This window comes from Homo sapiens, chromosome 17 (genome assembly GCF_000001405.40).
Source record: "Homo sapiens chromosome 17, GRCh38.p14 Primary Assembly".
NCBI classification, from domain to species: Eukaryota; Metazoa; Chordata; class Mammalia; order Primates; family Hominidae; genus Homo; species Homo sapiens.
The window spans coordinates 41,531,983-41,556,348 of record NC_000017.11 but is presented as its reverse complement, the minus strand read 5'-3'; the positions used below and the strand labels follow the sequence as shown (position 1 = coordinate 41,556,348).

The following is a 24,366-nucleotide window of genomic DNA, read 5'->3' as shown; positions in this document are numbered from 1 at the left end:
TGAGCATCATCTGAAGAAAGCACTGCCAGGAGTTCTTGAAGGACTGCATATTGTAAAAGAAAGAAGTCAAGGAGGTCTCTGAGTCTTTTGTCTGAGCAACTGGATGATAGGAGTTGTGGGATGGAAGTTGGCTGGTATGAAAGATGGGGAGTCAGTTTCAGACATGCTAAATTTACATTGTCTTTTGGACACCCAAACGGAGATCTTTTAGAAGTCTCATGCCAGTAATCACACTTGTTACTAAATTCTGTAGCCATCAGGGTTTTTGCCTGCAAAGATCAGAAGCCACACTCTGAAGCCAGTTTGTTAAAGGATGTTAGGTAAGCCATAGACTCTCCAGGAAGAACTCGCAGGGAACAGGTTTGAAGGCAGCACAGCCCGGAGCAAGCCCACCCTTGCCACTATCTGCAGGTGCAGATTCAGTAGCCCATTCCACTTGGCGCTATCACCAAACTTGTGGCGCTGCTGCTTCTAGAAACTGGAGGTCTGCAGTTATTCCTTCCAGCATGGATTCCACCAGGTGCCTCCTTTTTTAGGACATTAGCTCCCAGCTTACAGGCTTCTGTGATGTGTGTGACTGATCATGTGTCTGTGCTCCAGCTGCAAGGGAGGCTGGAAGGCTAATTTCTGGCTTCTATAGCCAGGAGGCACAGACACTAGAGGGAGAATTCCTTTACAAAGGAGCTGGGCGACTAAGTGTAAGAACAATTGTCCACAAGGAAGGAGCAAGGACTAACACTGATTGCGCACTTAATAATGTTCCAGGCACTTCGCTAAGCATTTTATATAAGATAAGGGAATAAACCCTGTATCTAATCTTCACAGCAATCTCATGATGCTGTCCTTGTTTTCATTTTACACATGAGGAAACATTTTTAGCGAGATTAAATGACTTGCTGAAAAGGTCACACAGCTCCTAAGCAGTGGAGACAGGAACTGAATCTAGGAAGTCTGATCCAAGGACACTGGGATTATGAAGCCCATTTTATAGATGAGGAAATTCTAAGTTAGAGAGGTTAAGTAACTTGTCCAAGGTCACATAGCTTGTAAATGATCAAGCAAAGATATAATTCCAGTTTGGCCTGGCTCCAAAGCTGGTGCTCTGTTTCCTGTTCTCTATGGCCTTGAGCAATTATTGAGCCCCAAAAGAATACAGAGGCTAGCAAATCCCATAAGCAGAGGCTTGTCAAAAATACCTTATGTGGGCTGGGTGTGGCGGCTCATGTCTGTATTCCCAGCACTTTGAGAGGCTGAGGTAGGAGGATCACTTGAAGCCAGAAATTTGAGATCAGCCTGGGCAACAGAGCAAGACCCCGCATCTACCAAAAAAAGAAAAAAATATTGGACAGGCATGGTGGCATGCACCTGTTGTCCTAATTACTGGGTTACTTGGGAGGCTGAGGTGGGAGGATCACTTGAGCCCAGAAGTTTGAGGCTGCTGTGAACCATGATCATACCACTGTACTCCAGCCAGGGCAACAGAATGAGACTGTCTCTAAATTAAAAAAAAAAAAAGAAAAAGAAAAGAAAAAAAAAGGAAAGAAAAAAGGCTTACGTGGGAAGCAATGACTGTATGAAGAGCTGAGAATAAGACGAGTGACCTGGCACAGGTAGATTCTTTCCTGGGATCTCAGATTCCCCCTAGAAGGCCCTGGGTCTGTGCTTGTCAAAGGAAGGAATGGGTGAATGAGCAAACGGTGCAGGGAGGAGGATGACAGAGGAGGGTCTCTATTATTATTCATATCATTCTAACAGTCCGCAAATATCTACCCAAATCTCTAGAGCTTTGATCTCGAGTCCCCGCCCCTTGGAGTGTCCTGCTTGGTTGTGGAGGCTGCTGCTGCTGCTGCAGCCTCTTGGCTTCAGGCTCTGAAGCACTCCCCATCTCAGGCCCAAACAGGAATAAAATCAGTTCCTTTCTCTGTTCCTCTTACTAGACTGAGATCCACTGGGATTGTCTGAGGGAATTCTTGTGAAACCAGAAAGAAAGTTCAAGAAATGATGCAACAACAACAAAATAAAACCCAGGAGAAATAGTACGACAAGAAGTTAAAAGATCGTGAGGAGAGGTAAGGCCTGGTGGGTCCTCACCTGCCTGTTTTTGAAAATCTCGTATTGGAGTTCCTGTCTATTTTCATCCCCTCTTCAAGTCATTCATTCATTCATTCATTCATTCATTCATTCAACAGATCTTCACTGGGTGCCTATTCTGTGGCAGGGATTGGGAATAGATGGAATTGTGAGCAGAACAGACAAGGTCTCTGCCCCCATGGGCTCACAGTCTGGTGCCAGAGGCAGACAGGCAGACAGGCCAGTGCTGAGTGAGTGCCATCGGTGATGAGAGGGATGGGCTGTACTTTCAGATGGGGTCTCCTGAGCTGGCCATGGTGGCTAGGGAAGCTTCCTAGGATAGGCATGGGCCAGGAAGCTTCCATATGTCATTTTGTTGATTTCTCACAACTGTGTGAGGTTGCTCTTGTTGCTTCCATTTACAGATGAGGAAACTGAGGCTCAGAGAAGAAAAGTTCCTTGCCCAAGTCACCCACACCAGTGTTGATCTGGCTCCCTACCTCCTGCTCTTAGCACGACCTATCTGGCCTCTAACAATTTTTAACACTTTTTAAGATTGCGCTGTGGCCTCAATTTTCTCCAAGAGTTACCTTGATCTCTCCCCAGGAAGATCAAAGCTGTCGGAGAACACATGAGTATCAGAAGCAGAGTGTGGGTGCAGAGGGGTCCTGGGTGAATAACCCTGCAAGGACAGACAGTCCCTAAGGACGGCTCTGCACCCACATGCTGGGTGTGACACTCATGTGTCCTCCGATGGCTTTGATATTCCTGAGCTTTCTTCCCACCCGGGAATCCCTCAGTCTGTCTTTGCTGCTACCAGCACCCTCAGCCTCAGAGACATGCCATCCTCACCCGAACTCAGGCCAAACTCTCAAACATGATTCCTTTCATCTCTTGCCCTCACCATGACTCAGTCATGTTGGGGTTGTCAGAAGGAGCATTTGTCAAGATGGAGGGAAACCTCAGGGAAGTGAATCAACACCAAACCCATAAGAGTCAAGCTTGAGATTCAAAGGTGGGGTGTGTGTGGGGAGGAAGGTTAGCTTCCCCAAGTTCTCTGCTCATTGGGAGCCCCAAGTGGAGACTCTGCCTGTCATTGACCCCTTCATTCAATGGGTAATCACTGAGGGCCTACTCTGTGCCAGGCATGGGGCTAGTAGCTGGGGCTACTACAGTGACCCAGGCAGAGTCTGCCCCCATAGAGTCTTGTCGGAGAGACCAACAGGTAACAGCCACCTCCATACAGTATGCTGCATTCCATTAGGGGGAAGCCCAGGGACTCTGGGCCACACAGCAGAAACAACTAACACAGTCTTGGGAGGCAGGGAACATTCTTTGGAGAAAGTGTTGGGTCAACACACCAGGAAGATGTTGGATTTGATATTTGATATTTGGTGGAGGTGATATTTGGTGGAGGTGATATTCAATGGAGGTGGTGTGCATGTGTGTTTGTGTGTGTGTGTGTGTGTGTTTGTGTGTGTTGGGGGTGGGCAGTTCTGGGTAGGGGGAACTGCATCAGTGAAGGCCTGGAGGTGTGACTGAAAGTGGCCCACTGGAGGAGCTGGAACTTGAACTTCCTGGGGCTACTGTGCAGAGGGTGAGGAGGGGCTGAAGAGGGATGACGAGGTGCTGGTGGGAGTAGGCGGTCAGTCGTGGAGGACTTGCTCATGGTGGGGAGACTGAACTGTACCCCGAGAGCCACAGAGAAGCACATGTCCCTTTTGTTTTCACCTTTTTCTAGCCCTGCAGTGGAGGAGGAGAACCTGTTGGCCAGGAACTGCCAACAGCTTTTGTTCTGGATAAGCCCCTCGTGGAGGAGGACAAGGCAAGAAGATGGGTCTTCATCCTAACCCACGGAAGCAGCGCTGGACTGAGAAGCACCACCTGCGAAACTCCCAGCCCCACTGAGTAACCTCCAGGGCAGGGGCATGTCCCTGCTTACGAGCTCCCACCAGCCCGTCACACCCCCCCACCCACCTCAGAGGCTCCTGCCCCTGACCTGAGTGAGCTGTGTCTGAGTTGGGTCCCTCCTCCCTCCAAGGAGTGTGCTCTATGGACAACAGCCTCTATCCTCATTTGTCCCTTCCTCCTAGCGCCTCCTTCTGCACCCCTGACCCCGCTCCATGCTGTCACCTCCTCTGTATGGCAGCTGGGCCTCGTCTGTCCTGGGACGGTGGCAAGCATGTACAGAAGTCATCTTCCTTATTTCTCACTACCCCCAGCTTCCCAGATGGGAAACTGAGGCTCAGAGAAATGACATAACTCAGCTGACAAAGGATCTGAGTGGGTCTGACCCGCAAGCCCACCCTCTTCACCTCATGCTGTCTAAAACAATTACAGACACCTCCCACGAGCAGGAAAGCTCTGGAAATGTCTTCTTGGAAAGCAAGCAGCTACCCATGAACAGTGAGTCTCTGTCCCAGGTATTTCTTGTCTCTGGGCCTCAGTTTCCTCACCAGACTCCTCAGTGTGTGGAACAAATGCAGTGGCAATGAAGGAACGAGGGCACCAGGGAGGGCGGGCTCCACTGACTTTCTGAGTCATGGAAAATCCATGGTCCAAAAAGCTCTTAGCATTTTCTCTGCCCCTGGGTCTCACATCCATCTCAGGCCATGCCAGCCCCCAAGCCCCAGGGGTCCTACTGTTCTCCCTCCTCTCAGGCCAAAATGAGAACAAAGCGAGTTCCTTCCCTCCATTCCCCTCGGCATGACTAACACATGCTGGGGTTTTCCCAAAGGAACTTCTGTCAGCCCTAATGGAAAACTGCAAAATACAAAGGAAACAAAGCAAATTCAGAATCCACAGCAAATAGTCATGTTTGAGGTACAAAAAGTTGGGGCAGGGGATGCTCGTTGAGAGCATTCCCTTCATACTAGTTTTTTTTTTTTTTTTTAAATTTTAGGTGGAGTCTCGCTTTGTCACCCAGGCTAGAGTGCAGTGGTGCGATCTCAGCTCACTGCAGCCTTGACCTCCTGGTTCAAGTGATCCTCCCGTCTCAGCCTCCTGAGTAGCTGGGATTATAGGCACCCGCCACCACACCTGGCTAATTTTTTGTATTTTTAGTAGAGACGAGGTTTCACTATGTTGGCCAGGCTGATCTCGAACTCCTGACCTCAGGTGATCCACCCACCTCAGTCTCCTAAGTAGCTGGGATTACAGGCACATGCCACCACACACGGCTAATTTTTTGTATTTTTAGTAGATATGGGGTTTCACCATGTTGGCCAGGCTGGTCTGGAACATAATAGTTCTTAACTGGAACCCTATCTTGAGTTCTTTGGGCCCCTGGATTTTCCAGTGTATGTTCCCAGGGGTGTTAATTAATATAAAATAACCCCAAACAAAACTCTTGTGATCAAATCCAGTGGAAAACATGGAGATAAACAAACCAAACCTTTTTTTTTTTTTTGCAGGACTTCTCAAAGCTTTTGGCCTTGGCCTCCCAAGGTGCTGGGACTACAGGCGTGGGTCACTGCACCTGGCCAAAGCTTTTGTTTGCTTAAAGTGCTTTGTAAGTTTATAAGAGGAGGCTACAGAACCCAGAAATCACCTATGGATTTGACCACGAGATGCGCTGCTGAATTCATGGTGGGAAATGCTGATGATCTCTGATGGAGGCTGCTGGGTGGCTGCTGCCCTCACCCTGACCTGTCCTCCCCAGCTGGACGGGGGACTTCTAGGAGGGGGAGGGTCCCCACTGAAGATGGACACATGTCCTGTCAGAGTTTCTGAGAAGCTCCAGCCCTTAGGCAGAATGGGACAAGGAGAAACAGACTTGGGTCTGTACTCGGGACTGCAGAAGCCGAGCATGAGGAGTTGTGGGGACAGTGCCCCTCCTTCATCCCCACCTCCCAGCCCCCCAGTATCTCCTTCTCCCCCTGATCCTTCCCTTGATCAGGCCAGGGCCCTGTCATTGTCCCAACAAATGCCTACCGCCAGTTCATCGCACCTTGTTTTCTCTGATGTCCTCGCAATCACACACCTTGTGCCCCTGAGCTGGGTACACGATCCTTTGCAATGTGTGCTACGAGAACTGTATTGCTAATAATAAAGACAAAATTTAATGACTCCACTGGCTGAGCTTCTGGTAGGTCCCAGGCACGTTAGACAGACTATTTCATTAATTCTCACCTCGGCAATTTGAGGAAGGTCTTGCTGTCTCAGTATCCTGAGTCTTAGACAGGTTCAATGACTTGCACAAGGTCACATAGCTTTTAAGTGACAGGGCCTGGCTGCCTTGGCTCTGAAGTGAGTTCTCTTTGCAACAACCTACCCAGCTGAGCCCCTCCTTTGTTTAGAGAAGGCTTCTCCTCTGAGCTGGGAAGATCCAACTTTGACCCTCAATTCTCAGATGACAGTGGTTCAGTCAGGCAGGAACTAGCTGTACTAACATGTAAACAAGTCACTTCTGCAAGGAGAGGCAGAGGCCAGTGCTTGCGCGAGCGTGACTGATAAAGGAATGGGGCGAGGGCTGAGGACTCTCTGGCTCTACCGATTTATGATACTGAAAGTCATCAATCTTAAAGAGAGATCTGCATTCCCCAAGCTTTCTTCTCCCTGAGGGGCCTCTCCTATCTCTCGCCAATATTGTGGCTCCCCTCAGCCGCAGGGGCAATCTTTCTGGTTTTCTCTTAGGTCCAAACACGAACCAAATAAAATCCTCTTTTCCCTTCTCTTGGTTCTCTTCTCTTCCTTTCCCTTCTTGGTTACACTTTGGAATTTTCAGAGGAAAAGTTTGCCAAGTCCAAGGAAGACTTTATGGAAATGAACAAGAGCCTATAAAACCCCATGAACTATCCATGAACGATATAGCACGGTGTGAACTGTTTCCTTCACAGCTGTGGCTGCAGCGGCCCCTTGTGGCCATGTTACACGCCAGGAAATTGAGCGTCAGAGAAACCACAGTTTTAGCGCTGGGCGGGGAGCTCTCTTTCCTTAGAGAGGTGGCCTCCTCCACTCTTTTGTGGCCCAGAGAGGGGAAGACACATGCCCAGGGCCACAAAGGTAGAATGCAGGCATTTGGACTTCCAGCCCTCCTAGGGCTCTTTCTCTTGTATTGCTCTCAGCTCAACGTCCCTTTGTTGCTGTAGGGAGGCCAGGGAGCAGCCTGGAGTGTGGGGCCTGCCTTTGCCCAGACAGGCTCCCTCTGACCGTTCCTCTCACACAGCACTGAGCAGGGTCAGGGGTGCAGAGGGAGGCGGTAGGAGGGAGCCCGCCTGCAGGCAGGTTGGCGAGTCCCCTCGCGGCCCCCAGGAGGCGCTGTGAAGCCGAGTTGGCGAGGTCCTGGGCTCCTCCCGCACCGGTGGCGGAGGGAGATGTTCAGTCTGAGGACAAAGGAAGCTGCACCCCGCCTAGGGACAAAGGAAGCTGCACCCCGCCTGGGGAGCTTGCAAAGACGGGGCCTTGTGGCCGGCAGCCTGCCCTGTCCAGAGCCGAGGTTGGCTCCAAAGCGGACATCACCGCCTCTCTCCGGGCTCCGGTGGCGGGCTGCTGAGGCACCCCACAACCACCTTCCCCAGACTTCACTTTGCAGACGCTGCTTCTTCTCTCTGAGCCTCTGAATGCCCGGTGAGGTGGGCAGGGCAGGATCCCTGTTCCTGTTATGGACTGGAAAACAGTTTCACAGAGGCCGAGGGCTTGCCCGAAGTCAGCCAGCTGATGAAAGGCGGAGCCTGGCCTCAGGGCTTTGGACCGCCAAGTCAGTGCCCAAGCCCTTTCCTACACAACTCATGGCTTCCCGGAGTTTGGCTCAGGGTAGAGGGGGAGATGCTATAGAGGAAGGCAGGAGCCTTTGGAGTCAGCTCCACTACCACCTGCCATGTCATGTAACCTCCCCGAGCCTCAGTTTCCTCATCTGTAAAATGGGCAGTAACCCTTGGAAGGTTGTTGTAAGGAGTGGACATCATGGATGTCAAGAGACAGCAGAGTTGCCTGATCCAGTGTGTCAGTGTGGGGGCCATGGGGCTCTGTCCACGTGTCAGTACAGCCACCTCCTTGGAGATCCAAGCTGGGAATGTCAGAGCCTGGCTCTTCCTCGTTGAGGTGCAGTGAGCTGCCTTAGTCTGCGGTGCAGGGCGTGGGGGTGGACATGCTTTTGCTGCTGTGAGCCAGTGCAGAGATGGAGCCAAGAGAGGCCAAGTTTGGTGGAGTCAGGGACGGGGCACGTAGGAGGATGGTGGGATGAGTCACTCGCCAGCTCAGATTGTGGTGTGAAGGGGAAGGAGTGTGGAGGCCGGGCCAGGCCTGGCAGCACCAGGCACAGACCTACCAGGAAGGGAGGCAGCCCTCTGGGACCAAGGCATGGCACCCTGCCAGTCCCACTTGCCCAGCCTCTGCGCTGCCCGGAGCTCCCTAGGGGTGAGGGTGGGCAGGAGAAATGTGTCCTGGGACCTGTCAGCATGTGGGTCTGTGTGGGGAGAGACGGGGTGAGGGTCTGGCTGCTTTTTTGTCCTGCTCACAGCCTCTCCTGGTCAGTGCCAACGCCCTTCTTCCTGCCTGTGTGCTGGGGATGGGGAGTGCCCCTCCCAGCCAGCCATCATCTAAGACAGACAGACCGAAGCAGTGTTCACACATCTACCAGGCGTGTTGCACCTGGCTGTCCACGTAGATGATCAGCCACATCTGCATCCACCAGGGGCCCCACAGAATATGACGGACTCTCAGGGTTGACCGAGTGTAGAAAGGGAACTATTTCTGGAGGTGTGGACAGGAGCAGCAGGGATCAGACAGCCCAGAGCAGAGCAGTGGGAAGCGGAGGGATGGGAAAAGGGAGTTTGAGGGGGTGTGGCCAGGGGAGGGCTGCCCTGCAGGAGCCTTAGAGCGAGCAGCTGCAGCCAGAACCGTGGCTGGGCAAGGAGAGGTGGGGGGATAGATACACAGGCCCCTTTCTTCCTGTTCTCCATCTTCCGCTGCTGCCTACTGATGGATGGCTGATTCCAATGGGGCAGTTGGAGGGAAGGGAGCCAGTGACACAGGGATCATCCTTCCAGGTACAGAGCAGGACAGAGGAAGGTGGAGAGTAGATCTAAGGATCCAGGGAGAATTATCAGCCCAACCAGTGGTTGGGCAAGGGGGCACAAATATGAGCCAGACCCCAGCCTCAAGGAGCTCACTGGCTGGTAGAGGGGATAAGAGCCAATGAATTCTCACCCATATAGGAAGAGGACAGTGCCTGGGAGAGGGTCAGGTAAAGCACCAGAGGGGCTCAGAGGAGGAAGAGCGAGTGCCAGGGATCACAAAGGCCTGAAGGAAGAGGTGATGTATGAGTTCCACGTTGCTGCTGTAACAAGTGGTGGCAAACTCAGTGGCTTAAAACAACACAAACTTACTATCTTCTAGGCCTGGAAGTCAGAAATCTGAAATGGGCCTTATGGGCTAAAATCAAGGTGTCATCAGAAATGCTTTTTTTCTAGGGGCTCTACGGGAGAGTCTGTCTCCTGGCCTCTTCCAGCCTCCAGGGGCTGCCTGCCTTCCTTGGCTTGTGGGATCTTCCTCCTTCAAAGTGCCTCACTTTGACCTCTGCTTCCATGGTCCCAGCTCCTCTCTGTGACCTTGACCATCTCGCCTCTCTCTTACAAGGACCCTTGTGATTACTTTGGACTCAATCGGATAATCCAGGATAACCCAACCCCCATTCCAAGATCCTTAATGTAATCACATCTGCAAAGTCTCTTTCTGCCATGGAAGGTACATGCTCACAGGTTCCGATTGGCGTATCTTTGGAGGGCCATTATTCTGTCTACTCCAGGCAATGGTGAAGAGGCACAGTTTCAACCTGTGACGGCTGAGGGGAAGGACCCTGCAGGTGGATAGGATAGCCTGAGTAGAAGCAGGCATTTGAGAACCTAAGCACTATTGGCCAGCACCTGTGAGTAATTGCAGGAAGACTGTGATTTTGGGGGACAGGGCTGGAAAGCCAGCCTGGACATGGCCAGTGCCTTGCTCCATTTCCAAATAAATGCAGTTGGCCTCTGAGGCTTAGTGGCAACCGTCAGTGCCTGTGGCATGGCGGGGCTGGCGGGGGGCCTCCTGGATGTGAGGTGAGCCTTGCTGTTCAGTGTCCATCCCTCCCCGACCCACACTTCTCCAGGCCCAGCACGGCTTTATTCAGGACCTGCATGGTGAGTCGGACCCTCGCAGTTGTCCCCTCCGTGAGGCCCTCCATTGGCCCGTCTCTTATCCACCCACACCCCCACTGCCAACAGGCCCGCAGGCAGCACTTGTCCCCTCCCCTGCCTTCCCCAGCCTCCAGGCCTCCAACTCTCCCAGTGTTACGCCTCCAACACACTGAACTGCTCCCTCCCTGAACTCCCCGCATTGTCTCACCTGGCCAGGCCATTTCCCACAGCTTTCCCTGTGCCAGAAACACCCACCACCCGAGCCCTTTTCTTCCCACTCCTCATTCTTCAAATCTCAGCTTTTTGGAAGAACACTTTCCCCTTCCCTCCACCCCACCGCACAGGGAGCAGTGAGCGACTCCCACAAAAATCTTTTTTTTTTTTTTTGAGACAAGGTCTCACTCTGTCACCCAGGCTGGAGTGCAGTGGTGTGATCATGGCTCACTGCAGCCTCAACCTCCTGGGCTCAGGTAATCCTTCCACCTCAGCCTCCCGAGTAGCTGGAACTACAGGCACATACCACCATGCCCTGATCATTTTTTGTAGAGATGTTACCTAGGCTGATCTTGAACTCTTGGACTCAAGCAGTCTACCTGCCTCGACCTCCCAAAGTGCTGAGATTATAGGTGTGAGCCACTGTGCCTATCCTCTCACAAAATCTTTTATAAAAACCCATACCTGGCCAGGTATGGTGGCTCATACCTGTAACCTCAGCACTTTGGGAGGCCGAGGCAGGCAGATTGCTTAAGCCCAGGAGTTCAAGACCAGCCTGGGCAACATAGCAAGAACAGGTCTCTTAAAAAAAAAATTGGCCCAGGCATGGTAGTGCATGTTTGTAGCCCTAGCTACTGAGGAGGCTGAGGCAGGAGGATCACTTGAGCCCAGGAGTTTGAGGCTGCAATGAGCTAGGATTGCGCCACTGCACTCTACCCTGGGTGACAGAGCAAGACCCCATCTCAACAAACAAAAAACCCAAAAAACAGAACAGAAAGCTCCTCCCAGCCCACACCTGCTGAGTGGTTGTCCCCTGCGGTGATGACTGACACATGCCATTTAACCTTCATGTTGCTGGTAATAGCTCTTGATTTTATGGAGTGCCAGATACTGTGCTTCACACCTGATTTTTCATTTATTCCCCCACAAGCCCTCTGAGGTTGGTGTTATTAGCCTCATTTCAGAGGCGGGGACACTGAGGTTCTGACAGGTGAGGTAACGGCCGTTGCATGACATGGCTTTGAAATAAAATGGTGGCTCTGTGAATCAAACCCAGGCCACCCTGGCTCCAAGGCCTGGGCTCTAAACCACATGCCACACTGGTGTGATTATGGTCCATGTTTTATAGGGGAGGAAACTGGAGCTTAGGGAGGTGAATACCTGGGCCTGGCTAATGAGTGGCTCTCACCCCAAGGCGTGGCTCTTTTCAAAGGCCAGGCCTGTCACTGCCTTGCTACATGGTCACTGATTAATCTTGCCTGCTACGCTATACTGCTGGGCCTCTCTTTTGTAGCTATTTGTGTAGATCTTTCCCTCCCCCATTCTCCCCTCTCCCATCTGCTGGGAGCTTGTTGGGGGCTGGGCCTGAGTCTGTTTCGTCTCTGAATTCTGCATGTGGCATAGGGCCTGGCTCAGAGCCCACGCACAGCACACGAGTGAATGAGGGAATGAATGGTGTTTCCTGGGCATGGCTTTGGGAAAAGCAAGAAACTGCTCAGAGTGCCCATCGGCAGCCAGTAGATCCAGAGAGGCTGAGGCTGTGAGCTCCTGCAGGGCCCAGGCCTGGGGTCCCAGCACCACCTCAAACTTCTTGGCAGATCTGAATGCCCAAGTTAGGTTTTGTTTTTTTACAGATATATAATTTTGTACTGAATTATGCATGTATTATTTCTTCCCAAATATATATATAATGCATGTATTCTTTCCAAATATATGTAATATATATTATATAATGTGTAATACATAATTATTACATGTAATATATTATATAATGTGTAATACATAATTATTACATGTTATATATATTATGTATTATATATAATATATAATTCTGCATTATATATTATATATATATAAATATATTTGGGAAGAAGTAGTACATGCATTATATATATATACATTTTGGAAGAAGAAATACATGCAAAATTCAGTATAAATATATATATATTTGGGAAGAAGTGATAGATATATAATTCAGTACAAAATTTTAAAAGTACAAAGGATATTCAGCAAAACATTAGTCTCTCCGTTCTTTGAATTCAGTCTCCCAGCTCCGTTCCCAGAAGCATCCCCTGCTATCTCACTTGCTTGTGTATCCTTCTAAAGAACCCAATGCATTTACCAACATAGATGTGCATATCTTCTTCCCTGGCACACACATAAAAATAATAGCAAACTGTCTATATTACTGTACCATCTTACATTTTCATTTAATAAAATACTTTGAACATCTTTCCTATCAATACTATACAGAGCTGACTCATTCTTTTTGATGGTGGCACAGTATTCTATTGCATACTTATCATATGTATTTATTGTATGTATCATATAATGAACATTTAGGCATTTCTGGTCTTTTGCTATTATAAATAATACTGCAGTGAGCCTCCTAGTACTTCATGTCATTTGGCACATGTGCAGAAGTACGTCTGAAAGATAAACACCTGTGAAAGAAATTGATAGGTCAAAGAATTATATTAAAAAAAATTTTTTTTTGAGACAGGGTCTTGCTCTGTTTCCCAGGCTGGAGTGCAGTGGCACAATCTCAGCTAACTGCAGCCTTGAACTCCTGGACTCAAGCAATCTTCCCACCTCAGCCTCCTGAGTAGCTGGGACTACAGGTGCATGCCACCATACCTGGCTTAAGATTTTGATACATATTGGAAATGACTGTTCATAGACCTTATACTACCAGCAATGTGTGGTGTGTCCAGTTCCCCATATTCCCAACAAATAGTAATTTAGCAAACCTTTTTACTTTATTTTATTTTGAGACAGAGTCTTGCTCTGTCACCCAGGCTGGAGTGCAGTGGTGCCATCTCGGCTTACTGCAAGCTCCGCCTCCTGAGTTCCCGCCATTCTCCTGCCTCAGCTTCCCAAGTAGCTGGGACTACAGGCACCCACCACCACGCCTGGCTTATTTCTTGTATTTTTAGTAGAGACAGGGTTTCACCCTGTTAGCCAGGATGGTCTCGAGCTCTTGACCTCTTGATCCGCCCACCTTGGTCTCCTGAAGTGCTGGGATTACAGGCGTGAGCCACAGCGCCCGGCCAGCAAACCTTTTTATCTTTACCAATCTGACATGTAAATCATGGGATTTCATGGTACTCTAAATTTGCATTTCTCTTCTCAAGTAAGGTTGAACGTTTTCATAAGTCTAAATGCAACTTGTAGCTCCTTTTCTGGGAACTGTTTGCTCATATTCTTTGCCCTTTTTCCTGCAGGGTTCTTGGTTTCTTACTTAGTTATTTGTAGGAGCCCTTTATATATATTAAAGATATTAACCTTGGGTCGGTGATAAGGGTTGAGAATATCTTCCTGCTTTATTGTCTCCATAAATTGTGTTGCAAGAGGTTCCCAGTTTATTACTTTCCACTTTCACTCTAGTTATTTGCCTCCATGTTCTTATCTCCTTATATTGTAATTGTCCTCATTTTTCCACGAACTTTCTCTCACATTATCTGATTTAAAACTTGTTACCTTCAAGAGAGATGAATATTGATACACCCATTTGTTTGGGGAGGCAATTGTCTGTGGATCTCTTGTATTTCTGCACATCTTGCAATCAGAGGCACTGACAGCTTTTGTTCTGGTCTGCCTTTTCAAGGATGTGCTAGTAAACTTCCTTGGAAGACAGAGATGACATCTTCCTCTGGAAAAGAGGCAGCTTTTTTTTTTTTTTTTTTTACTGTTCTGTATAATAATAACAATATTTCTCTCTGGAGCAAAGATCAAACAGGTTTTCTTGCAGCCCATTATAAAAAATTTGGTTCCCCCAAGTGTGGAACTCCTCAGCTGTGATACAAAACCCATTGTATATGTAGTGTAGCATCCACTCGAGTCAAGCTTTGTGTTGTCCTCATGGTACTTGGGGTGGAGGGCTACTTGCTTAAGCTTAGTTTAGTAAGGCACAGAGCTGGGATTTGAACCCACAGCTCTTTGCAACATAAAGCTCAAGTTTCTTGCTGTGCCATGAGTAATAAAGTCGTTGTCTCTGACCCAGGGTCTCGTGTCTTCTGCCAGCATCCATAAAACTATGGCAGGACAACTTTTTAACTTGCAAAAAGAGTAAAATTTTAGACCTTTACAGTTCTTGGCAATTTGGCAGCTGTGCCAAGTGAGGCTTTGATCACCTGTGCCCAGGGTCACCCAGACAGAAAGCAGAAAACTAGGTGTGTTACTTTTTAGTTATGCTAACGTGGACTTCCTCTGTTAGCAGGTAAACGGCCCACGGCTAGGCTTCTTTCAGCCACTTTATCTTGCTTTCAGCTTACCCACTTTCAGCTTACCCGGGCCTCGCTCCCTCACTCAGGGGGCCCTCCATCTTTGTGCCTCTCCCATATCTCATGGATCTCATGCGTTAGGCTAGTGGTTCTCACACTATAGTGAGCCTCAGAATCACCTGGAGAACTTATTAAAAATTCAGACTTATTAAAGGTGCAGGTTCATCCACAAAGACTCGATTCAGTAACCCTGGCTCGCCTCTCCATGGGTTCTGTCCTGGGGGTGGAAGGACCACATGGCGAGTTGCTGCTGTAAAGAACAGGCTGACTGTGAGAATTTGTGAGCAGGGATTTGATCAAAGCTGGCTTGAGACAGATGAGCCTGGTGCTGGGGTGAGTTGCCGGGGTAGGTCAGCTCTGGGGGAGGCGGCTGTGGTCCTTTGGTCTTGAGGTGATAAGGCGATGATGGTGGGGCAGCAGAGGGAAGGAGTGAGGGGGTGCTGGGACAGGGCTGTTGACCCAGCTGGGTGATAGCCCTGTGTTTCCAGCCTCAGGAAACCTGCTGTCTGACTCACCTGGTACTTTGCATGTATCATCTCCTGGCTCAAACAATCACTGTTGGCTTCTGCAGGAAAAAAATAAAAAATCAAATCTAGTGGCTTGACCTGCTAGGCCCTTTGTTGTCTGATTCGAACCAGCTCTGCAGCCTCTGCTCCCTGGTTTTCCTTTGACACAGTGGTTAGACCGCAAGGTGCAGGCCCAGACCTTGTGAGTTCAAATCCCAGCCCGGTGCCTTACCAAACTCAGCTTAAGCAAGTAGCTCTCAGTTTCCTAGTTGGCAAAATGGGAGTGATGACAGTGTCCACAGCATAGGGGAGCTTCGATGATTTAAACAAGTTCATGGATGCCACATACTCGAACAGAGTTAGGCATAGAGGAAGAGGCCAATACATTTAGCCTGTTTTTATAAGATTTCTTTTTTACTGGAACTTCCCACTATCCGCCACCTCCATGTCCTTACTCTAGGCACCATTTACTGTGGCTCACCCTGGGGCTGTGAAGGGCCCCCTCCTCCAGGGCGCCCTCCCTGCTTACCCAGGCCTTGATCCCTCACTCAGGGTGCCCTCCATCTGAGCTCCAGCAGCCCCGGGTCTATGTCCCTCCTCTGACCCTGGCCTGCCTCCTGCCTTTGTCAGGAGCCTACAGTGTTTACCTCTTTCTCTTCCCCGAGCTCAGGTCGTCCCCTGGGGACAGACATCCTGGCTCCAGGGCACCTGCCTGCTGGTTTCTGCTGAGCAGGACACCAGCTGTGGGACTTTAGGCAGGCTGAGGCCCCACTCTCTCTCAGTTTTCTGACCTATATAAACTGCTGGAGGTAGGCTGAAGCACGTGTTTGGGCTTTAAAAGAGGGAGAATCTTTGCTGAAGCAAAATCTCACAGAAAGCTGAGTATATAAAACCAGTGTGAATGCATGTGTGAGAAGGCCTGGGAGTGTGTGAGTGTATGTGTGAGCATGTGTATGCATGTGTGTGCATGTGTGAGTAGGTGTGAATACTGTGTGAGGTGTGTAAGTGTGTGTGAGTGTGGGTGGTCACAGCAGATCCGCTCAGCTCCCACCTCTCTGCTTAGGGCTTAGCAGGCGAGGCTTGAAGATCTCTGGGCTAGAAGATTTCTATGCCCCCATCCTACAAGTGTAGGAGTTTTGTCTAAATCATCTTGCTGGGCTTTTAGATGCTTATTATGTTTCTTTTTCTTTTTCTTTTTTTTTTTGAGACAGAGTCTTGCTCTGTTGCCCAGGCTGGAGTGCAGTGGCTCTATCTCGGCTCACTGCAAGCTCTGCTTCCCAGGCTCAAGCAATTCTTCCTGCCTCAGCCTCCCTAGTAGCTGGGATTACAGGCACTCACCACCATGCCCAGCTAATTTTTGTAGTTTTAGTAGAGATGGGGTTTCGCCATGTTGGTCAGGCTGGTCTTGAACTCCCGACCTCAGGTGATCCACCTGCCTTGGCCTCCCAAAGTGCTGGGATTACAGGTGTGAGCCACTGTGCACGGCCAAGAAGATGCTTACTATGTTTCTTAGCAGTCAAGGTGAGGATAAGGATGAGGTAACATGGACATGGCAGGAATGGGAAACTTGGGGTTCGTGAAGCCTCCTCTCTTCTCCCCATGCTCCAGCCCTTTCTTCTGAAGCCCCAGACATGGATATCCCTGTTGGGATGTGTTTGTTCGGTTTCTGTGTACCAGGTCCTCATTGTATGTTTACTCAGCGAGGACAGATATCTCTGGTGGATCTTCTCATCCCCACAGGCTCCAGCCCTAATCCCAGGCAAGGACTTTGGAGGAAGCACTTTCCTCTCCAACTCCAGCACATTCCACTGGAGGGGGAAGGGTCTTGGCAGGACTGAGCCAGGGGAGGGCAGAAGATGCTTCCTGGCACTGTGGTTCCTTGGTGCATCCCCCGTGCCTCCCTGGTGCTGGCACGGCTGGTAGGCCTTGGGCTGGTAATTGGGCAGCCTGCTGAGGGCTGATGCTGGCACTGGGTAGTTCCTGCCTGGAATGCACGTGAGATGCCTAAGGGAGCCGGTGAGGCTTTGTCTTCTGTTAATACTCTGTGTGTGTGTCTTTGAGGTGGGATAGTGTTCCTTTTCAACTGACTTCAAAAAGCGCTTCAGATACCAGGCCCCTCTCATGGGATCAGGCGTCAGCTGCTCTTCCTTGGGGCAAAGGGGATCTCCCCCGTTCTCCCTCATCTCCCCCTTAGTCCCCAGGCCTGGGCATTCCTGGTATTCCCAGCTCCTGGCAGCCCATCTCGCTATGTGATTCTCTGTGGTTTCTGCCTGATGAATGTTTATCCTGCAGCCGGTTGGAGCCGGGATGAGCAGGGCCTCAGCATCCTGTCTCCAGAGCAGCTCTGAAGCTCCTTCCAGCTGCTGTTAGGAATGCCCCTTCTGCCCCAACCCCCTGCTCACCTGGTCCAGAAACTCACTAACCTGACCACCCCTCCCCCAAGTCTGCAAGGCCCCGCTTGCCAGCCTAAAGCCAGTGGAGCCTGGAATGAGTCAGAATTGAAAATAATAAGCACTCCCCTCAACCCATGCTAGAGGTGAGACATGCTCACTGCTGCTTTTTTGAAAATGTAGAAAACACAGATCTTCATTAGAAATCATCTGTCTCTTGGCTGGGCGCAGTGGCTCACGCCAGTAATCCCAGCAGTTTGGAAGGCTGAGGTGGGTGGATCACTTGAGGTCAGGAGTTTGAGACCAGCCTGGCCAACATGGTGAAACGCTGCCTCTACTAACAATATAAAAATTAGCCAGGTGTGATGGCAGGCACCTGTAATCCCAGCTATTCAGGAGGCTGAGGCAGGAGAATCACTTGAACCCAAGAGGCAGAAGTTGCACTGAGCCAAGATTGCGCCACTGCATTCCAGCTTGGGTGATGGAGTAAGACTCTGTCTCAAAAAAAAAAAAGAAAAAAAAAAAAAAAAAAAAGAAAGTCGCCTCTTTCATACCAACCCCTAACTGTGGGCTCCGTCTGTGAAGGCAGGGCCCAGGTGGACACAGCCCTTGTCCTTCCCCTCCCTCAGCAGGCATCAGCGCTGGCAGAGATCGGGGTACAGTCATTGCTTGGTTAGTAGAACCTAATTCTGCCAGGACGCGTTCCAACACAGATCTAGGAGGGCCCCGGTGTGATTCCTTTCCTGGAGGTGGATTAGATAAACCACCGTCCCAGACCAGCTTCCTGACCTCAGTGCAAATAGGAGGCTCACACCTCAACCAGGAGCCATGCAAGATTCTCTCCTTCCCTTGTCCTCCCCATGAATCGTCAGCCTGACCTGCTGGCTCTGCCCTCGGGATATCCCTTGCACCAGGCCACTGTTCCTGAAGTCCTCTGATGTCTCCCCAGAACAAGCCCCCAGTGTCTCTCACCTGAACTCCATTAGAGCCTCTTATTAGATCTCCAGCTCTTTGGGCCCCACGGTCTATTCCACAGGGAGCAGCCAGGGGTGGGGAGGGCGTCCCAGTGCTCCTCTGCTCAAAGCACCATTACTCTCAAGATAAAAGCCAGCGCCTCCATTAGACCGCAGACACCGAGTGCTCTGTCCTGGCCTCCCCTGGGCTCATCTCCTGCACACTGTCATTCTGGCTCACCCCTCTTAACCACTGGGACTTCTTGGTGTTGCCTGAACAGACCAAGCTCCCTCTTCCTTAGGGATTTTGGCTTTGCTGTGCCCTTGGCTTGGAATAATCTTCCCTGGGGATCTGAGGGCTCCTTTGCCTCATTCAGGTCTCTGTTCATGTGTCACCTCCTCAGAGAGGCCTTCCCTGACCACCCCTCAATGGCCTTCCCTGCTGACCCCCTCCCTGGCTTTGCTACTCTGCCCCCTACCCCAGATGAAAGCCCCAGGAGGGCAGGCAGCTTTAGACTGCCCTGCTCTTGAAGCCCAGAGTCTAGAAGGTGCCTGGCACACAGAAGGTGGACCATAATTGGTGTTAAATGAAAAAAAATAAAAGGGCTTCAGGAGAAGGCTCTGTTCTGGCAAATAATCATTAAATGTTTACTAGTGCTGGAGTCAGCCCTGGGGCTAGATACAGAAGCTCCAAGTCTAGATGGGGAGACAGAGCTGTGGTAAGTGCTGGGCAAGTGGGTGGGGGTGGGAATGCTGACCCAGCCTGAGCGGGTCAGGGTGGACATATCAGGGAGAAGAAACCCATGCCAATGGAACTGAGAGGAGCTGGCATGGCTGCCATCCAGGTAAAGGGAGGGGGCAGGTAGGCAGGGAGGATGCTCTGGCCAACGCCGGGTGGAGGTGGCCTCCAGCATACAGCGGGTGTTCAGTGAAAATGCTTGCAGTGTCCAAGACCCCTGCATCCGAGGAGGACAATTTGAGTTTCTGGACGGGAACCTTCCCAGGTGAGGGGGAGTACAGAGCTGAAGCTTCCCCTCAGGAGTCGTGGGATCAGATGGGTTTTGAAAGGAAAGATTTTGCCTGTGGAGGGGTCTTGCTCATCTGGGACTGCCCAGAGTCTGTTCTTGAAGGAGGCAGCATCGCCACCACAGCCCACCAGGATCCTGATGGGAGGGAAGTTTGTCAGCCAGAAGGCAGCAGGGAAGCACCCAGGTGCCCTCTCCTGGGTGCTGGGAATCCGGGCAGGCACCCGGACATTTTCTTTCTCTCTGTCCTGTGTCTGGCACTCTCCTTGCCCCAGTCCAGATGGAATGGGCCACAGCTTGAAGTGGGGCAGAGGCGTCAAATGAGGCCCAAATTGAGTAGGGCAGGACAAAAGCTGAGAGAGACACCCCTGGCTAAGATCGGTGGGGGGGCCTCCCTGTGTGGAGTGAGCGTGAGCCTGCTCACGTACTCACCTCCAGGGAGAGGGAGTGAGGAGGAGGCAGGCCCCTGTCTTCCCAGGCTGTGGAATGTGGCACCTCGGGGAAGCTGGCCCCTGGACCTGGGACTATTCCTTGCAGGACTCAGCTGTCCCTCCCCACCCACACCATCTGCCCTGGTTCTGGTCGGGCTGGTTTTTCCTCCCCTGAGGACTTGGAGAGGAACACCAGGGGCCATCCTGACCTAGCTTACTTGCCCTGCCCTCCCCCTTTCCTGGGTTTCCACGTCTCAGGAAGCCATTGAGATGCAGCAGAAATGGCCAGACCTGGGCTGTGCGGAGGCTCAAGTCCCGAGAGCATCAGCCTCCTGACCCGAGTGCGGCTTTGGGCTGCTCATGACATGGCCGGCGCTGCCCTGTCCTGGCTGCTGGGCCCTTCAAGACAGTGAATAGGATTCTTCCCCATCTGGGCAAGAGCAAGGCTCCCCAAGAGACGGCATGGGTCCCAGGGCTGGGGGATGGTAGTGGCAGGGATCTTGCTCAGCTGAGACCGTCCAGGACTTGGCCAGCATCTCTGGCACACAGCAGTGCTTTGTGCAGGGTCCCTCTCTTTCATCACTCCCATTTGTCATCAGGTCATAACAGCAGGTCTTGTCTCTGTCCTTTACTCTCTAGCCCACCACTATGGCTAGATTCAGACCCTCTCATCTCTAGCATGGACTATTTTAAAACACCCTAAACTGGGTTCTTTATCCCTGGTCATCCCTGCTTCCCTTGACACATCAACCCATTTGCCACACAAAACCCACATCCCATCCCTGATGAAAATGACTTTCCATTGTCTTGCTTACAGCTCCCCCACAGCTGACCTTGTCCTCAACGACCCCCTTCCCTCCCCTCCTGCCATGGCCCAACCATATTGAATTGCCAGTAGTCTCCCAAGCTGGGCCCGGTTACTCATCTCTTCCAGGCCCCCATTCTCTTTACTCTTCTGCCTGAGAAATACCTACTGGTCTGTCAGCTTCTTGCTCAAGGGTCATGCCTCTGTAATTAAATAGCTCTCAATGCCCCCAGGCAGACATAATTCCCAGTGTCTACATACTTGATCACATTGATTGGTTTGAGGCATACCTCAATACTGGGTCAATAGCTCTAGCCTGATGGCCCACATGGTGGCTCCCACTCCAGCACCCCCTAAAGATCTTCCAGTTATTTCAGAAAGTCCCCAGGGGAATGCCTCGCATGTGCCCACAAGGTGGCTGCTGTCTTGCATAGAATACCCTCTGCTCTGCCACCAGCTGTAGCCCCACAGATCCACGCCACCACCTGGGAGAGCCTTGTTGTCTGTTGTGAGAACACCCAGGGGGGCCAACTTCAGATGCTTCCAGACGATGGATCCTTGGAGAACCAGAGTGGGAGGGCTTTCCTCAGGTGTAAGTCATCGGCTGCAAGGAGCTCTCCCTGTACTCAGACTCTTCCAAAGTTCTTCTTGTCCGTTTTGCCTTCTTGTTTCATAAAGAAGTAAAACTAGCCTGGCGGACCCAGGGGTGGGGGCACGAGGATGGAAACCCTTTCCAGGGTCTCTTTTCTCCTCACATCTAGTTCTCCCTCTTCCAAAACTTCCTCTCTCATTTCTCAATTCAAGGCTAGGGTTGGTGTGGATGAGCAGAGACAATGATGTCAGTGGTGAGTGCAGGGAGGGGAAGAGGGTATTGACTATATGAAATTTGGCTAGTTCTAAATGTCTGTGGTTTAGTGTTACTTAAGAAATTATTTACTTTAATTAACAAGAAATACTAAATACATTCTTATAAAACTTAAAACCATAGAGATTAAGCTTAGGTTCCTATTGGCTACCATCCTTCAATCAGATTCCTTCCTTACCTATGCATATATTCATACATATTCATATGGACCTTAGCAATAAGTCATCTTTTGAATGTATGTTGACATGAATTTATCATATTAAGTGTGTTGCTCTCCAACTAGATTTACTGTACCCAACAACTAGTTTTTTTTTTTTTTTCTTTTGAGATGGAGTTTCACTCTTGTCACCCAGGCTGGAGTGTAATGGCTCGATCTCAGCTCACTGCAAGCTCTGCCTCCCGGGTTCAAGCAATTCTCCTGCCTTAGCCTCCCGAGTAGCTGAGATTACAGGCACCCGCCGCCACGACTGGCTAATTTTTGTACTTTTAGTGGAGACGGGGTTTCACCATGTTGGCCAGGGTGGTCTCGAACTCCTGACCTCAGGTGATCCACCCACCTTGGCCTCCCAAAGTGCTGGGATTACAGGCGTGAGCCACCATGTCCGGCCCAATAACTAGTTCTTTAGGGTTTTCAGTGTCACTATTCATTGTCATTACTCATTCCATTTAATTTCTAGTCCTCCACAGCAGGATGTTACATAGTTACTGAACGCCTCCCCGCCATTAGTGATTGTTTGTGTCTTTGCACTGTAGCAAACAATGCTGCATAGGGCATCCTTTTATATGACTTCCTCAATACACGGGCCAGGGTTTCTTTCGGATGAACACGAAGAGTGGAACTGATGGCTCAAGAAGTGCATGAATGTTAAAAAAAATGATGACATTGTCAAATCGCTCTGCAAAGTGGTTACTACAACCCACCTCCCACCAATGTGTTTGAGGAGGTTCATTTACTCATGGCTTCTCTACACTTGACATCATCAAACGTTGTGAGCAGGCCAGTCTAATCAGGAAAAGTAAATCTCCTGTCTTCTCCTGAATTGGGGAGAGGTGGTCCCCTGGCTGCCTTAGTTGGGTAGGGGTCTGGGAGGGGGCCTGGTACTGTTGACAGAAACTTCCAGCCAGCCCTGCTTACGGTCCCTCTTCCACTTTTCCTCTCCATGTCTGTGGTGCCCCAATTCTTGAGCTTCTTTAGAGTATGTTGAGAATGTGCTTGCCTCTCACGGGCTTCCTGCTCTCTCCTCTGTTGACCCCTTCCTAATCCCCCAAACCCTGGGTCTCAGCTTTCTCTCATCTTCTGTGTTACCATTTTTGAGCTTTAAAGCTTTTGTTGACATTTCTCATCTTTGACCCTCCCTCCTTCCTTTCCTCCTTCCCTCCTTCTTTCCCTCCCCTCCTCCTTCCCTCCCTTCCTCCCTCCCTCCCTCCCTCCCTCCCTCCCTTCCTTCCTTCCTTCCTTCCTTTCTTCCTCCCTTCCAGCTGGGTCTTACTCTGTCACCCAGGCTGGAGTGCAGTGACGCAATCTTGGCTCACTACAGCCTCCACCTCCCAAGCTCAGGTGATCCTCTCACCCCAGCGTCCTGTGTAGCTGGTACTACAGGTGCACACAACCATGCCCAGCTAATTGTTTGCATTTTTGGTAGAGACAGGAGTTCGCCATGTTCCCTAGGCCAGTCTCAAACTCTTGAGCTCAAGCAGTCTGCCCGCCTCGGCCTTCCAAAGCGCTGGGATTACAGGCGTGTGCCACTGTGCCTCACCTCTTCTTCCATTCTCTTAAAATACTCCTTAACTGTCATATCATAGCAGGGTTTTAGGAAGGAGTCAAAATTGATGTAGCTATTGAACCTACCACATTTCACCAAAGCTAATACACTTCTATACACCCCCCTACCAGATTGTCAGCCTCTTAGAGGCAGGAAATATTTGTATTTACTTCTGTGCCCCAGCCCCTGGCAGCATGCGTAGCACAGAAGCTGCGCTTGATGCATGTTCACTGAATGAATGGAGGAGCGGGTGAGGAAGTTCCTTGTGCTGGTGGTCCCTGGGGAAGCGGAGGCCGTTCAGGTAAGGAGCTACTAATTGACAGGACATGCAAGCTCATGAAGTTTTCCACACATTTACCTTTCCTCTCCTCCAGATTATGAACAGAGCCTTCTGCTTTGCTCATGGACACGAGTCTGTCTCCTCTGCTAGGCTCAACTTGGAGGAAACTTGCTTGAATGGCCCACTGACTGACCAAACAAATAATTGTGCATCAGAGCAGGCAGGGCAAGTTGGGATCTTGGCAGATGATACAATGCCTTCCCCAACTTGGTGGCTCTTTCTCCAGGGCAGCAGAAGAAGGCACCTTGATCCCTTTCCCATGAGAGGAGGGCAGCATTAGCAATTGGGACTGTGGCTTGAGGGAGTGAAAGATTTTGGCCCAAATACCCAGTCCACTACTTACTTGTGTGACCTTGGACAAGATATTAACCGTTTTGAGCCTCAATTTTCTTGACTGTTAAATGGGGACAATAATACTTAATTAACATGATTCATTGAGATAATATATTCAGAGTGTTTAGCATGGAGCCTGGCCCAGTAGATGTTGGCTATGATTATCTACTGTATTATTATCACCTTGGTCATCATTATTCTTGTTGTCATTATCACACCATTCCATTCTATCCAAGGACTAGGTCTCTCACCCCCAGCTTCTTTCCTGTGGT

The 24,366-nt window shown here is 50.4% G+C and overlaps 1 long non-coding RNA gene across 1 annotated transcript, besides 5 other annotated features; it reads left to right on the top strand.

Moving 5' to 3' along the window:
* The first annotated feature begins 1,853 nt into the window (after positions 1 to 1,853).
* LINC00974 (long intergenic non-protein coding RNA 974) lies at positions 1,854 to 6,743 on the top strand. Its single transcript, NR_038442.1, has 3 exons — positions 1,854 to 2,069; positions 3,812 to 4,476; positions 5,484 to 6,743. It is a non-coding gene; the product is annotated as a long intergenic non-protein coding RNA 974 (long non-coding RNA).
* Positions 3,534 to 4,034: an enhancer, noted in NCBI's record as "H3K4me1 hESC enhancer chr17:39708567-39709067 (GRCh37/hg19 assembly coordinates)". NCBI's record gives its function as "activates a minimal SCP1, AML or CMV promoter by ChIP-STARR-seq in primed H9 embryonic stem cells {active_cell/tissue: H9 hESC(primed)}" and the evidence as "EXISTENCE:reporter gene assay evidence [ECO:0000049][PMID:30033119]".
* Positions 6,576 to 7,189: an enhancer, noted in NCBI's record as "H3K27ac-H3K4me1 hESC enhancer chr17:39705412-39706025 (GRCh37/hg19 assembly coordinates)". NCBI's record gives its function as "activates a minimal SCP1, AML or CMV promoter by ChIP-STARR-seq in naive H9 embryonic stem cells {active_cell/tissue: H9 hESC(naive)}" and the evidence as "EXISTENCE:reporter gene assay evidence [ECO:0000049][PMID:30033119]".
* Positions 6,987 to 7,036: an enhancer, noted in NCBI's record as "active region_12163". NCBI's record gives its function as "activates an Ori minimal core promoter by ATAC-STARR-seq in GM12878 lymphoblastoid cells {active_cell/tissue: GM12878}" and the evidence as "EXISTENCE:reporter gene assay evidence [ECO:0000049][PMID:35858748]".
* Positions 8,067 to 8,427: a transcriptional cis regulatory region, noted in NCBI's record as "candidate enhancer chr17.2497 targeted for multiplex CRISPR interference". NCBI's record gives its function as "positively regulates KRT19 gene expression in K562 cells {active_cell/tissue: K562}" and the evidence as "EXISTENCE:mutant phenotype evidence [ECO:0000015][PMID:30612741]".
* Positions 16,556 to 17,176: an enhancer, noted in NCBI's record as "H3K27ac-H3K4me1 hESC enhancer chr17:39695425-39696045 (GRCh37/hg19 assembly coordinates)". NCBI's record gives its function as "activates a minimal SCP1, AML or CMV promoter by ChIP-STARR-seq in naive H9 embryonic stem cells {active_cell/tissue: H9 hESC(naive)}" and the evidence as "EXISTENCE:reporter gene assay evidence [ECO:0000049][PMID:30033119]".